Source organism: Homo sapiens, chromosome 2, assembly GCF_000001405.40.
Source record: "Homo sapiens chromosome 2, GRCh38.p14 Primary Assembly".
In the NCBI taxonomy this organism is placed as follows: domain Eukaryota; kingdom Metazoa; phylum Chordata; class Mammalia; order Primates; family Hominidae; genus Homo; species Homo sapiens.
Window position 1 is genome coordinate 98,788,737 of NC_000002.12, and position 14,730 is coordinate 98,803,466.

At 47.3% G+C, this 14,730-nt stretch overlaps 1 protein-coding gene across 11 annotated transcripts in view; it reads right to left on the reverse strand.

Annotated features, from left to right (window-relative positions):
- Positions 1-5,109: 5,109 nt before the first annotated feature.
- Positions 5,110-14,730, reverse strand: part of CRACDL (CRACD like) — a 142,380-nt gene continuing 132,759 nt past the window's right edge. For 9 of the 11 annotated variants that reach the window (XM_005263926.4, XM_017003972.2, XM_011511094.2 and 6 more), the window contains 3 exons: positions 8,614-8,801; positions 7,384-7,528; positions 5,110-5,938 (listed from right to left, as the gene is read on the reverse strand). In XM_005263926.4, the coding sequence (XP_005263983.1) occupies positions 5,796-5,938; positions 7,384-7,528; positions 8,614-8,801 (476 nt within the window). In that variant the 3' untranslated portion in view covers positions 5,110-5,795. The remainder of the gene's footprint in view (positions 5,939-7,383; positions 7,529-8,613; positions 8,802-14,730) is intronic. The other 2 variants (NM_207362.3, XM_005263924.4) reach the window with 1 other exon arrangement.

The window sequence follows — 14,730 nt, forward strand, 5'->3', positions numbered from 1 at the left end:
ACCTCCTCTATAGAAATATTTTCCTGTCTTTTCCCCCAGAATCTAATATAATAATTGCTGTCTTTGAATTTTTTTCTTCCCCAGTTTTCCATTTAACAGTGATGCAAATCTAGTGCCCACCTCACTGGCTGCATTTTTCTTAAAATGTCAGGGGTACCTCTATTTGCTCCCTGTTTTTTCTTCTTCTCAATGACTCTCTGCCTATGAAATAGACGAGCACCCCCTCTGAAGTGTGCACAAAGAAGCCTGGGTTCTCCTCAGGTGGGCAGCCTCACCTGAGTCCGAAATCGTGATGGTCTCAGGGACAGGCTTATCCAAACCTGGATGGAGTATGGAGGAGGACTCTCTTCAGGGCCGTTTGCATTGTCAGTCTTATAAGATGGATTTTTTTTTTGAGAAGCGTGGCAACTCAGGATGGATGGAATCACAAGAACCACAGATCCTGTTGCTGGTGGTTTTAAGCACTCATCAAAGCATAGCCTTGAATGAGGTGGAGAACATTTTACTCATCACATTCTCCTCAGTGGGATGACTCCATTTGTTCTGAAGACATTCTCTGTTAAGCTGCTTGGAGTCGTGTATGAGGGAGAGCCCAAGGCAGGCCTGATGTGCCTAAGACAAACAAGGGAAATTTGTCCTGCTAGGCAGGTGGAGCTGTGGGACTAGGAAGCTAGGGAGGGCCATGTCCCTCAGGATGCATCCCCTCCTTGTGACCCTAGTCCCAATTATTTAATGGGTTTGACCAAGACACAGAATGCAGATATGTATGGAGTTCTTCTGCAGACTGCTGAAGGGGCCAAGTTCTGGGGAAAGAGAGCAAAACTTCCAAGAATGCACAAGTTCCAAGTACAAAGGAGACAGTAGAAACAGAAGACCCAGGAACCAGGGGGAAAGCTTTGGATTTCTCAAGCATAGAATCTGTTGGCAGCCAAGTTGATTTTACCTTGCTCTTCAGGGGAAAGGAGACTCCTGGGGTATCAATCATATATATGGGCTGTCAGAGCGCTGTACACCCAAATAACGTCACACACCCTTCTCCCTGAATACCAAAGCTCTGCACTAACACTCAAGCCACGGTAAGGAAAATGGGCCAGTGTCCACATTTAGCCAGGGCAAGCACATGACCATGTCATCGTTACAGTGGCTCCCCCTTATCAGCTGGATCAAAACGTGGGGCTCCTATTTCCAGGAACAACAAAAGCAGCCTGCAGGTGTGGGTGCTTCATCCTTGTCTGAATCTCTGGACGGCGAGGTGTGCTTCAGAAAGACCTGCTTCAGCAATTTTCCCTTCCCTCCTACAAGTCTATTCCTATCCATACGTAAACCTCCTCTTGTATCAAATGAATAGGAAAACTTTCTCTTGCCCCCAGCTACTGCCATTTCTTCTGCTCCTATTCATGTATGAGTAAAATTTCATGGAAGTTGGTTATAGCTGATGTAGCTACAGGCTGGCCAGCTTTGACCTAATCTACCTGTGCCTCCACCCCCACTTTTCCACAGAGAGGGCCCTTGTCAAGCCACCTATGGCTTTTGTGTTCCCAAGCCAATGGCTGCTCTTGTTCTCATCTGGTTGGATCTCTCAGCAGATCGCACTCTCAGCAGATCCCACTCTCAGCAGCAGATCCCACTCTCAGCAGATGCCACTCTCAGCAGATGCCACTCTCAGCCAATCCCACTCTCAGCAGGTCCCACTCTCAGCAGGTCCCACTCACAGCGGGTCCCACTCTCAGCAGATCCCACTCTCAGTGGGTCCCAATCTCAGCGGATCCCACTCTCAGCGGACCCCACTCAGCGGATCCCACTCTCAGCAGGTCCCTCTTGACACAGCTGATTCTTCCCTCTTCTTTCCAACACTTTTTCTTGCCTCGCTCTTGCTGTCCCTCTTCCTTCACAGACCCTTTTGACAACTCTAGATCCCTAGTACAGGAGTGTCCTAGGATCAATCCTCCCACCCTGTTCTCCTTTGTCTAGACCCCTGAATTCCCATTCTATCCAAATGCTGATTACCTACAATTGTATAACTTGATATTTCCACTTAGATGTCTAATGGGAATCTCAGATTTAAGATGTCCAAACTCAACTCCTTTCTGTGAATCTCACCCTCCACGCCCATTTCTGTGTTACCACGACTCACCTAGAAGCTCCAACCAAAAATCTAGGTGTCGTCTCTACCTCCATCCTTTCCTTCTCATACCAAACATACCAAACCCACCTGCATGTTGGATTTGATGCTAACTCTACTTTATTATTTTTGAGATGGAGTCTCATTCTGTTGCCCAGGCTGGAGTGCAGCGGTGTGATCTTAGCTCACTGCAACCTCTGCCTCCCAGGTTCAAATGATTCTCTTGCCTCAGCCTTCCTAGTAGCTGGGATTAGAGGCATGCACCATCACACCTGGCTAATTTTTTTTTTTTTTTTTGTATTTTTAGTAGAGGCAGGGTTTTACCATGTTGACCAGGCTGGTCTGGAACTCCTGACCTCAGGTGATCCACCTGCCGCAGCCTCCCAAAGTGCTGGGATTACAGGCATGAGCCACCGCACCCGGCCTGACGCTACCTTTAAATTGTGGTTTGAATCCATCTACTTCTCTCCACCTCTAGCATTACCTTAGACTAGGCTACCATGATCATTTTTATAATTAGATCACTTCCAGCAAACCTTTCACTAATCACCCAATCTCACGTAGTCCTTCCACCATGATCAAGACCTTCTGTTTTAGACTCGTCATTGAACTTATTACTATTTTTACTTGGGGTTTTTTGGTATGTTTTATATTTATTTATTGTCCCCCTCCCCATACCCAAATAAGACAGGTGTGGCACAAGGTTAGCCTGTTACTTGTTTGTTCATCAGCTGTCCCTAGGCCCTCATAGGATGCAGGCACTAAAGCGTCACCTGAATGAGGTGAAGGAATGAATGAAAATACCACATAGTTGAGGCAGGTGCTCACGATTAAAAATTATAAATGCCTCCCCCTCCCTTTTTCCAGTTTGTCTAAGGAATTAAAGGATGAGGTGTCCCTAGGACATAGGAACCCCCAAAGTCACATTCAGTGCTCTCATGTCTGGGTTGTCTTGGAGACCACAGATTCACCACTGCACCAGTGCTTTTTATTAAAAAAATTTTTTTTTTTTCTGAGATGGAGTGCCACTCTGTTGCCCAGGCTGGAGTGCAGTGGTGTGATCTCGACTCACTGCAACCTCTGCCTCCCGAGTTCAAGCAATTCTCCTGCTTCAGCCTCCTGAGTAGCTGGGATTACAGGCACCTGCCACCATACCCAGCTAATTTTTTTGTATTTTTAGTAGAGATGGGGTTTCACCATGTTGGCCAGGCTGGTCTTGAACTCCTATCCTCAAGTGATTCGCTGCACCAATGCTTTTTAAAAATGGGGATGTTGGCTGGGTGGAGTGGCTCATGCCTGTAATCCCACACTCTGGGAGGCTGAGGCAGGAGGATCGCTTGAGCCCAGGAGTTCAAGACTAGCCTAGGCGACATAGTGAGACCCCATCTCTACAAAAAAAAAAGATTAGCCAGGTGTGGTGCACATCTGTTGTCTCAGCTACTTGGAAGGCTGAGGTGGGAGGACTGCTTGAGCTCAGGAGCTCAAGGCTGCAGTGAGCTGAGATTGCTCCACTGCACTCCAGCCTGGGGGCAGAGCGAGACCCTGTCAATAAAATAAATAAAATATAAAAATAAGGATGTTACTCGAAGGTAGTGTTTAAAAGCATGGGCCTTGGAGTCACTTTCCAGGTGCATACCTGCTGTGGGATCTTAACCTCAATGTGCCTCAGTTTCCTCACCTGCAAAGTGGACATAAAGTACTTACCCTCAAAGGACTGTGCAGAGGATTCTAAATTACATATGAAATATAGAGCAGTGGCTGGCTCAGTAATTGCTCCCCCGTCTTTCTTCTTAGGAAAACCAGGGCTGGTAATTCCTTGCAGGCTTTTACCATCTCTGCTGCCACTCTGGACTTCCGACATCCCCAAATTTCGGCCAACGTCTCAGCTGGTTACGACAGAAGGGTCACCACCTCCATGCTGAAAGTGGCAACTGCAGGGCCACACCCTAGTGAATTCTCCCAGTGTCCTAAAAATGGCACCCTTCTAACTCACCAGGCGTCAGAGAGAATTAAACCAAGTCCTCAAATACACAGAGAATATCAGCATCTGCTTGAACAAAACCAAACCAAATACTTTTGATCTTGCAGTGAAATCTGCTGTCTCAAAATGGTTCATCTGATCATCTGCTAGGGAGAAATGGGGGTTTGAGGGTAGTAATAGCCAACACAATTTTTGCCAGTTAAAACAGTTCACAGACGCCTCGGCTTTGGAAGCAAGGCTAGATGGACGGAGCTCTTGTGTTACAGCATATTCACCATGGAATTCGGTATTGACGTTCTCTAAGAGAATGCAATTAGTAAATCAACTCGGTTGGGAAAAAAACTGACCCAGGACTTTCTCAATAAAGGTAGGCTCAATCAATCTGTGTAGTACTAACAGCTAGAAAAACAATATTCATGAAGATGGAAAATACAATAAAAGTAGCAAGGCCCTAGGGTATATAAAATCAAATTATAGTATATCATGAAGTTGTAGTGATTCTGATGGCTAAATGCCCCCAGCTACATGTACTCCCATGGAGATTACCTTGCTCGAAGGAACAAATTGGAACTATTTTAAACAGTAAAGAGGCATTATGTAACCAAGACAATTCCGAGATTTCAAATATGTTTTCCTTCTGCCTGGTTTTTCCACATTCCACATTCATGGGTCATACTGGCTGATGCACTGGTAACCCAGCTTTCAACAGAAATATGCAGGTTCGATTGATTAGATGCTAAAGAATGATAACTTCTAAGGAAATTTTATATATTTAGTATGTCGTACTAAATAGATGAAAAGAGTTAAAACCCTACATTACCGTCTGTCTTCCAAAATTCTCACTGGGGAAAAAAAAAACCTCAAAAACTCAAACTCCACAATTAACCCAATTCAGAATTTTAAATGAGGCATGTATGAAGCAAAACCCTATTCATTGCATTTAACTCAGTGCTGGAGGATGTTCTCTAAATCTGAGTAGAAATAACATTTACACTTAGAACAGAGGCATGTTTGAAACCTTTTATTAAACAGGCAATGCATTGTGCAGTGGTTAAAGACACAGATGCCTAGTGGAAAAGTTTAAAAATTATTTTTGGAAACAGTCTATGAATTGATGAACCCTGCCGTGTTCCTTCATCTCCTTCTCAGAGTGGCTGTCTTTAGGAAAACAGATTGTTTTATAGCTGCTCTTGGAAACGGCATCCCTGTTTTGCCATGAATGTCATGCCTCGTAGTAAACATGAAAGAAGACAGGATCCACAGGCAAGAGAGCGACCAGAGACATGGGCTGATCTCAGCTGGAAGCACAGATGTCCCTTCTCCTAGAAGGGCTTCTCTTCTGGCCTTTGCTGGGTGTCCTATTTATGTGTCCAATTTCATTTCTATTTTCTTCCTTGTCTGAGGCTTCTTTATCAAGGGAATTCGAAAAGACACATTCGTACCTTTGGGCACAGGAACTGGTTCCTGGACTTTTTCAATGTTGTTCTTGTTTCTGGGCCCTCTGGCCCAGGAGTATGGCTGTGTGTTTATCCTCTTTGTTTTGCCTGGTTCCTTCCTCTTCCCCAAGTTCGTCATAACTTGATGATAAAATCAATCTTTAAGTTTCACAGTTTGTTTGCCACAATACACTGGCAGTTTTTAACTAAGTGGCTTGTCAGGGTAGTGGACATGCTTTATCAGCACACTGCCCACCTATTTTATAATCTGGGGCATGTCACTCCAAGCTTGAGATTTCTTTCTGGCAAGTTCCATCCAGGATGGCTGATCTGTACTGGCATAACTGGCTCTCTTCAGCTGATGCAGTTCCTTCTCCATCATCACTGCAGACTGAGCTGCTTGGAAGGGAGACAAAACCAACAGAAACATGAGCAGTGACTTCGAATTTTCCCTTAAGCCTCTTGTGTTTCTCGAACTAGACATCGAGGTCTTAACTGTGTTCTCGAACATAAAATTCAATAATATGTCAACATGTAAGGAAGATTTGGGCCTAGAATATGTCATTTATGTGATAAAAAGACTTATGAGCAAGCTCAAACAATTCTGGCAATGCAATGAGGTGAGAGAGACTTTGGAAATAAAATGGCAGGAGCTCTACAGATGGGCTGCAGCAATGTCCCTCACTTAAAACTACTGAACTGAACTGTGCACTTAAAAATGGCTAAGATGGTAAATTCTGTTATGTGCCCTTACCATAATTAAAAATATATATATATATATATATATATATATATATATATATTTTTTTTTTTTTTTGAGACAGAAGTCTCACTGTGTTGCCCAGGCTGGAGTGCAGTGGTACAATCTCAGCTCCCTGCAATCTCTGCCTCCCGGGTTCAAGCGATTCTCCTGCCTCAGCCTCCCAAATAGCTGGGATTACAGACATGCGCCACCATGCCTGTCGAATTTTTGTATTTTTAGTAGAGACGGGGTTTTGCCATGTTGGCCAGGCTGGTCTCGAACTCCTGACCTCAGGTGATCTGCCCGACTCGGCCTCCCAAAGTGCTGGGATTACAAGCGTAAGCCATGGCGTCCGGCCTAAAAATTTTTAAATACTGATACATGCAACAACAAAGGCATATCTTGAAGATGCTATGCTCAGTGAAAGACGCCAGATATAAAAGGGTACATACGTTAGGATTCTATTCATTAGAAATGTCCCAAAAAGGCAAATCTATAGAGACAGAGTAGATTAGTGGTTGCCTAGAGCTAGGAGTGGGAGTGGGAAGTGACTGTAAATGGGCATGAGGTTTCTCTTTAGTGTGAGGGAAATATTGTAAAATTAGATTTTCATCACAGTTGTGCAACTCTGTAAATACATACATGCTCACTGTCAATATACAGTTGTCCCCTGGTGTATGCAGGGAGCTGGTTCTAGGACCTCTCCCACCTGCATATACCAAAATCTATGAATACTCAAGTACTGCAGTCAGCCCGTGGAACCCGCACATAAAAAAAGACGGCCCTCTGTTTTCTCAGATTTCACATCCTGAGGATAGGATACAGGTAATTTTCCATCTGGGTTTGGTTGGAAAAAAGTCAGCATTTAAGTAGACCTGTGCAGTTCAAACCCGTGTTGTTCAAGGGTCAACCTTATACTTAATGAACTGTACACTAAAATGGATGAGTTTTATGACACGTAAATTGTATCTCCGTAAGAGCTGTGTAGAAAACTCAATGTTGCAAGTAATTTGCAAAAACCAAACCAAACCAAAACTCAAACTGCAGGAACGACCCAGGAAAATGATTTCAAAGTATGTGGTAATGTTTGCAGATTTCATACCCAAGTTCTGATGGGACAATGAGATTCCTCTTTGCAGCCCCTCCTTGAAGTTGAGCTTTGCCCCCTGCTTCCGGTCCACAGCGGGCTTCACAGGGGTTATCAGGAAAGACTTGCTGCGAACAAAGTCAGCTTGCTTCACAGGCTCCTGTTGGGACATAAGACACATGCTGCCAAGTTAACAATGATTCAGACAGGGGCAAACACATCCAAAGTGAAGGAGCTGCAAAGCTGCTCATCCAAGATGCCTGCACTGCTGGCACTTTCTCGGGAGGGCGCCCTGGTGTCAGCTCACTAACACCGAGTGGTCAGATGCTGGCGCTGGGACCAGTATGCGGCCTTATCCTGGCACACACGTGCATCATGGCTTCCTTCCTGTCCCCACACCTGGCCTCAGTGCCAGATGGCAGGGATTCCATTTGAAAGTCAAGATTTGTTTAGAAATCATTTTGTGATTTTTATGACAGTTGGAATAGTTATAGATGTCCCAAACTGGTTACTATTTGTTTTCTAAATTCCCCACGCCTACATGAGGGTCTTCAAGTCTGGTATAATTGAGGTTCTGGTTAAAACGAGGGGAAGCAGGTCCTAATGCAGGCTCAGGCTCTCTTCCCCACATGGCTGAAACACACAGATTCATCACGGTGCTATTGGGGGATACAAAAATTGCGAGTCTCGGCCTGATTCTAGGCATAGTTGTTTGGGTTGGTGAAAGCTGCCTTCAATTCAGAGTACAAAATGGAACCACAAGTTCCAGCCCCGCAGCCCCAGGTGAGGAATGAGGAGCTCCAGCATGTGGCCGGTGGAGCAGCAAAGAGCAGGGCTCGCTCCTCACAGCATGATAAGCTGGGATGGAGCTGTCGACATCATTGCTGTGTGTCTAACTCGAAGTTATTTTAACCTCCTCCCATTTTTCTAGATGCTGAGCTGCTGCGTTGCCAAGGAGGCAGGGAGTAGAGAGCTGTCTGCACTGCCTAAGTGATTCACATGCTTCTCTGCATCCCCAACAGCTCAGCATATGCAAAGGCAGGCAGAATGCTCCACCATGGAGGTTATGATTTGGCAAGTCATTTATTTTGCTTCATTGGCTCTCGACCACACATCCACAACCATCACAGGTGACGGTCCCTGTGACGCCCATGCAGCACATGTGGTCCTTACAGGGTCCTCGCCCCAGTCCCAGCTGGCTGCTCCCTCCTGCACCCACAGAACAGAAGTATTTGCTCTAAGCACCTGGCCTCTCTCGGGCACCTTGGCTTGCTTTCCTGGTTCAGACTTCAGGGTCCGTGCCCCAGGCTTGTCTTCCTGGTTGGGTGGCTGGTCCAAGGTCCCCCTCCGCTTCTGCCGAGTGACGGTGATCCAGGGTGGCGCAGGCTGCCCATCAGCTCCAGGCCCTGTTGCTGCAGGCGGCAGACTCTTTTCTGTTGGGTAAAGGCACAAGATTATAGAAACAGTCCTATTCCCTCTTCGGTTGCACCCTTTGTGTCTCCTGCACAGAGAACACTACTGCTTTGGTTCAGGGTTGCAGGGTGTCTGGGAGAGGATTACTTTCTTTAGGGGCTTTGTTTTCTTATTAAAGATGCATCAGAGAGATTATGCTCCTCTAGTCTGAGCCCCACAAAATTAAATGCAACTGCTTCTATAGGGTCGGTGTGTACTTTAAAGCCAACTTCCTCCTAGGAATCCTTTCTGGAAGGAGATAAAAATAAGTACACAAATAGATAAAATTTCTTTAATATAATCCTGTCATTTTGGACCAGTATGTACTGGTCCAAATGCTGATTCCTGCTCAAATGCTGTAGACACACTATTAATCTCTTGTCTTCTAAAAACTGTGAGCATAACCTTCCCTTTCTGGAGACAGTGACACCAAAAACTGGTCACAGTTGCTTTCCTTAATGTTCTAGAGAGAAAAGAAATAGTGCCTTTGAAACCATATAGAGTTGGCCGGGTGCGGTGGCGCATGCCTGTAATCCCAACTCTCTGGAAGGCCAAGAGGGGGTGGATCACCTGAGGTCAGGAGTTCGAGACCAACTTGGTCAACATGGCAAAACCCCGTCTCTACTAAAAATACAAAAATTAGCTGGGCATGGTGGCACATGCCTGTAGTCCCACCTACTTGGGAGACTGTGGCAGGACAATCGCTTGAACTTGGGAGGTGGAGGTTGCAGTGAGCTGAGATCACGCCATTGCACTCCAGCCTGGACAAGAGTGACACTCTGGAGGCTGAGGCAGGAGAATGGCGTGAACCCGGGAGGCGGAGCTTGCAGTGAGCCGAGATCGCGCCACTGCACTCCAGCCTGGGCGACAGAGCGAGACTCCGTCTCAAAAAAAAAAAAAAAAAAAAAAAAAAAAAAAGAGTGACACTCTGTCTCAAAAAAAAGACACCATATGTTTTGTGGAATCTCCTTCCATATTTACTGTGCTTGTCTTTGGGTGGTGAAATTGTGGGTCATTCCCCTCCTCTTACATTTCAGCTCTTCTGTATTTTCATATTTTCTACGATAAGAATTTATTACCTTCATCAATAGAAAAAAGAAATCTGTGGATTAAATAAGTGGCTTTTCTTTTCTTTTCTTTTCTTTTTTTTTTTGAGACAGGGTCTCACTCTGACACCCAGGCTGAAGTACAGTGGTGCGATCAAGGCTCACTGCACCCTCCGCCTACCAGGCTCAAGTGATCCTCCCACCTTGGCCTCCTGAGCAGCTGGGATTACAGTCATGCACCATCACGCCCAGTGAATTTTTTGTAGAGATGGGGTCTTGCCATGTTGCCCAGGCTGGTCTCGAACTCCTGAGCTCAAACAATCTGCCTGCCTCAGCTTCCCAAAGTGCTGCAATTACAGGCGTGAGCCACCTCCCCTGGCCAATAAGTGGCTTCTTACAGGTACATCAAAAGCATAGAACCCAAGGTTCCCCATGAGCCTGCTTCTGGATGTTTGCCTGCCACGGGATAAAACAAAGGCTGAAACTGATCTCCAACCACCTGGCACCTCTCCTCAGTTCCCTTCTACACAGTGTGCTTGAGTCAGCCGGGTGACAACAGCACTGTTTCACAGCAACACATGCAGATGTCCAGGAGGAGTGAATGTCATTGTTCTCTGTGGCCTGATGTCTTCCACCCCTTGCTCTGGTGTGCAGAGGATATTACTCACTTTGCCTTTGTTTCTGCTTCCAGTTCAGGCTGGAATTCTTTTCCCTTAGTGCCCTGGTCAACAAGGAGGTACAAGCGGGGTGGCCACTGCTTTGCAAGCTACAGTCTCTTGCTGGTGGTGAGAAGAGCCTTCAGCCTCACACAGCCAGGACCTCCCCTGGCCCTGGCAGCCAGGGACGGCTCTCACTCCTTTTTCTGGCTGCTCCCTGGGGCCTCCACCTGACTGGCCCCCTGGGAATCCTGCTGCACCTCTTGGACTCATCCTACCCCTTTCCTGACTCTTCAGTCTCTCCCACTGACATCTTCCCTGCAGCTTAGCAGAATGCTTGGGTCTTCCATAGCTTGAAAGAAGTCTCCCCGGAGCCTCATTGTCCCTTGAAGGTCCAGTTCTCCCTCCTCCTCTACCCTTAGCTCAAATGGCCTCTGCCTATGTCTCGTCAGCCACTTGCTGAACCAGCCACGAGTTGACACCACTCCTTCCATCCTCCCAACCACCCAACCCCAAATCCCAAGGTCAAGCCTGGTCCTCAACCTGCTTCACCCCTGCAGCTCTGACGTGGCTGCACATCCTCTCTGGGGGAGCCTGTCCTCCTGGGGCATCCCTCCAGCCTCTGAGGCCCTTCTCCAGGTCCTTGTCTGACTTTTGTTCCTAACCTGGAACTCCTGCTTGCTCCTGACCCTCAGCCGTCATCGCTTCCTCCCAGCATTCTCTCTTCTACTCCTGATCCAACAGGCAGAATTGCTGAAATTACTAATACTTCTTAGTGTACACTCCAGCCCTACTTTCTATTCCTAGCCAGAGCCCAGCATTTCTATTCTCCTGTTTCACCTTGTTTGCTATGAGCAAGGACGACCTTATATTTGAGGTGGGAAAATAAACAACAAATTGTTCCTTCAAAAAGCTCAAAGTCTAGTTGGGGAGACGAGACACAAACAAGTAACTGTGGTAGAAACTGGAAAATGCTAAAATTTACAAAGGGCTATGCGGACACAGGGGCTAACACTGGTGAGTGGGAGTAGGGGTGCCTTCTGGGTTGGGATCTGGAGAACAATCTTCCAGGCTGGGGTTGGGGGCAGGTGGAGGAGTTGTGTAAACCGGCCCCAAGGAAGGGTCTTTTCTGTCTTTTTTCTTTTTCTGTCCATAATGGGGACACTGTGGGGGTTTTAAACCATGGGCTCACTCTGAAGGTTGTGTGGAGAATCAGTCTGACTGTAGAGGGACGAGAGGCTGGGAAGCTAGGAGGGAGGCTGTGGCCACAGCTCAAGAGAGGTGACAAGGGCTTGGATATCTTGTTCTAGAATCCTCCCCGCTGGTTCACCAGGGTCCCTAGACACTACCTCCTCCATGAAGTCTGTTCTGGTCAGTCTCTCTCCTAAGTCCTCTGTAACCTCTCGAGACACTTGCCTCACTATGTTTGGTACTAGACATGTTTGCTAGCTGACCATCTACCCAACTGAAGTATGCCTTTGGTCATAAGCATTTCTTATCTACCGAACAAACACACACCACAGACTATGTACCAGATACACTTCTAAATGCTGAGCTTGGCAAGAGGTAAATTTTCCTTTCCTTACATCAGGAGCATGCTGGCAGAATTCCATCCCAAACACAGAAGGGTCACCTGCTGCTGCCTGTCTGTGGGGTAGGAATGTTTCCAGCTGTACTGTGTGTGTGTTTTAAGCGTGTGTCTGTGTTCACATGCAGACCCACGGGAGTGGGTGGGTGCCCTGGCTGGGCCAGGCCATGCTGCTGTGGGATAAGGTAACCTGCAATAGCAGCATCGCCAAGCACTGGGCCAGCTTATGACCACACCACCATTTCTCTCCTTTTTGGTTCCTGCCTCTTTCCCTGCAACTGCTGGTCTTTCCTTTTATTCTGTATTCTCTTCTTTCTCACCTTTTTCCTTGTCAGGAATGCAAGAGGGCCCTTGTAATCTCTAGGCCCTGTTACAGGGACTGTCCAGGGCCACCCTCATTGGCAGAGGAGTGCAGGAATGGCAAATGGGGGTCTAGACACCAGGAAAAAGAGAGAGAACCCACTCCAGCTCCATAATGTAGTTCACAGATGCCTGAGATTCCACCTGGAGCCTCTCAGCAGATAAGCTGAGAAAGGGGTGATGGGCTGAGCATCACCTTCCACAGTGCTGAGCCTCAAAGAAGCTGTGCCTTTGTCCCCAGTGAGCACAGGCAGAGCAGCTGTGTGATGAGCCACTCTGCTCTGTGGCAGGGGCCTAGGAGGCCTCTCTGAACTGTATGCTTGTAGCAGGTGTAGACACTTGCTAGTGTGGTGTGAAGATTCCATGACATAATCCACGACCTATGCCTCCCAGTGTGGTTGTGAAGTGAAATATCCACTGTCTATATCTCTCAGTGTGGTTTTGAAGATAAGTGAAATATCCACTGTCCCTCTTGGTGTGATTGTGAAGATTGGGTGAAATATCCACTGTCTATACCTCTCAGCGTGGTTGGTGAAGATCAGGTGAAATATCCACTGTCTACACTTCCCAGCGTGGTTGTGAAGATTCTGTGAGAGAATCCAGGGAAAGCCCTTAGTGGTGTTAGTTGCTGCCACAATTGCTGCTGTTGTTATGTGCTTGTTGCTAGTGTTGTTATTGTTCCTGCTGGAGGAGGGGTGGAGAATTTTGGTCAAACCTTACCCTGGAGCTTGATGGAGACCAGAGAGCCATTCTGCCATGACAACGAGCCCTCGTGGCTGTTGTGATAAGAAAACCACAGCAAGCAATGGGTTGCACCCCAGCCTCTTGCAGGGTCAGGCAGCCAGGCTGACTCTTGGCTCCCTGAGAACATCGTCCACGGGTTCCAGCAGACCATCTCAATGCTGTGTGTGCCAGTCTGCCTGCAAGCCCTGTAAGGGCAGGCGCCTCATCCTGGTCACGTCTGCCACAGTGTGTGAGAGCCAGCGGGTCTGATCGGGGCTGCCCTGCTGGCGCTGCATCATGGAGGAGCCTGGCCCAAGCCACACCAGTGTGCACCGCAGTCCCGCTATCCACGGCGGCGCTCTCTCCTCCATGCACACGCTGTGTGTTACAGCGAGCCTGGCCATCCCGGATGCAGGACACACTGCCCGAGATGAGAGCCGTTTTCATCTGCATTCCCAGGAATCACTCTTAAAATACCTCCACACAGAACTCTCCTGTAGGAGAGGATGACAAAGTTTTCAGACCCACATTTGGCATTATTACTGAGCTATTTGTATTCGGGAAGATCTAAAATGAACCCTTTCAAAAATCCTCAATGTTAAACCATTTCTAGAGGTGTTCAACTACGCCTACGTGGGACAGATTCGTCTCATCACTTCATTTTGACTTTCTGATAGGTGATGGTTAGTTCTTTTAGTGCCTATTAAAATTCAGCCTTAAGGTATTGTTTTTTTCTTTCAGAAGGACTTCTGCTATGACGAGTTGAGGGGCCCAGGGTGGGACCCCAATGGTGGGCCACACCCCGTATGACACTAGGGATGCAGCTGTTAAGTCTGGAAGCTGAGGGCTGTCAAGCACAGTCTCCTGAGAGGCAACGAGTTGTCGTACAATGTAAATTCCCAGGTTGCTTGCCTTTTGGCTGAGGATATAAAGCACAGGCTCTGCCTTAAGGTAAGGCAACAAGATTTCCAGGCCTCTGAAAAATTTGGTACATGGTGTCCTTTCTGAAGTAGCAACTTTTTCAGCCTCCTGAGTAGCTGGAATTATGGGTGTGAGCCACATGCCTGGCTTTTTTTTTTTTTTTTTTTGAGATGGAGTCTCGCTCTGTTGCCCAGGCTGGAGTGCAGTGGCGCAATCTAGGCTCACTGCAAGCTCCGCCTCCTGGGTTCAAGGGATTCCCTTGCCTCAGCCTCCCGAGTAGCTGGGACTACAGGCATGCACCACCACGCTCAGCTAATTTTTTGTATTTTTTAGTAGAGACGGGGTTTCACCATGTTAGCCAGGATGGTCTCGATCTCTTGACCTCGTGATCCACCCGCCTCAGCCTCCCAAAGTGCTGGGATTACAGGCATGAGCCACTGTGCCCGGCCATGACTAGCTAATTTTTTTCTAAATTAATTTTTGTAGAGATGGGGTCTCGCTATGTCACCCAGGCTGGTCTCCAATGATCTTCTCACCTCTGCCTCCCAAAGTGCTGGGATTATGGGTGGGAGCCACTGCACCCGGCCTGATGCAGCAATTTTTAAGAAACTTTTTC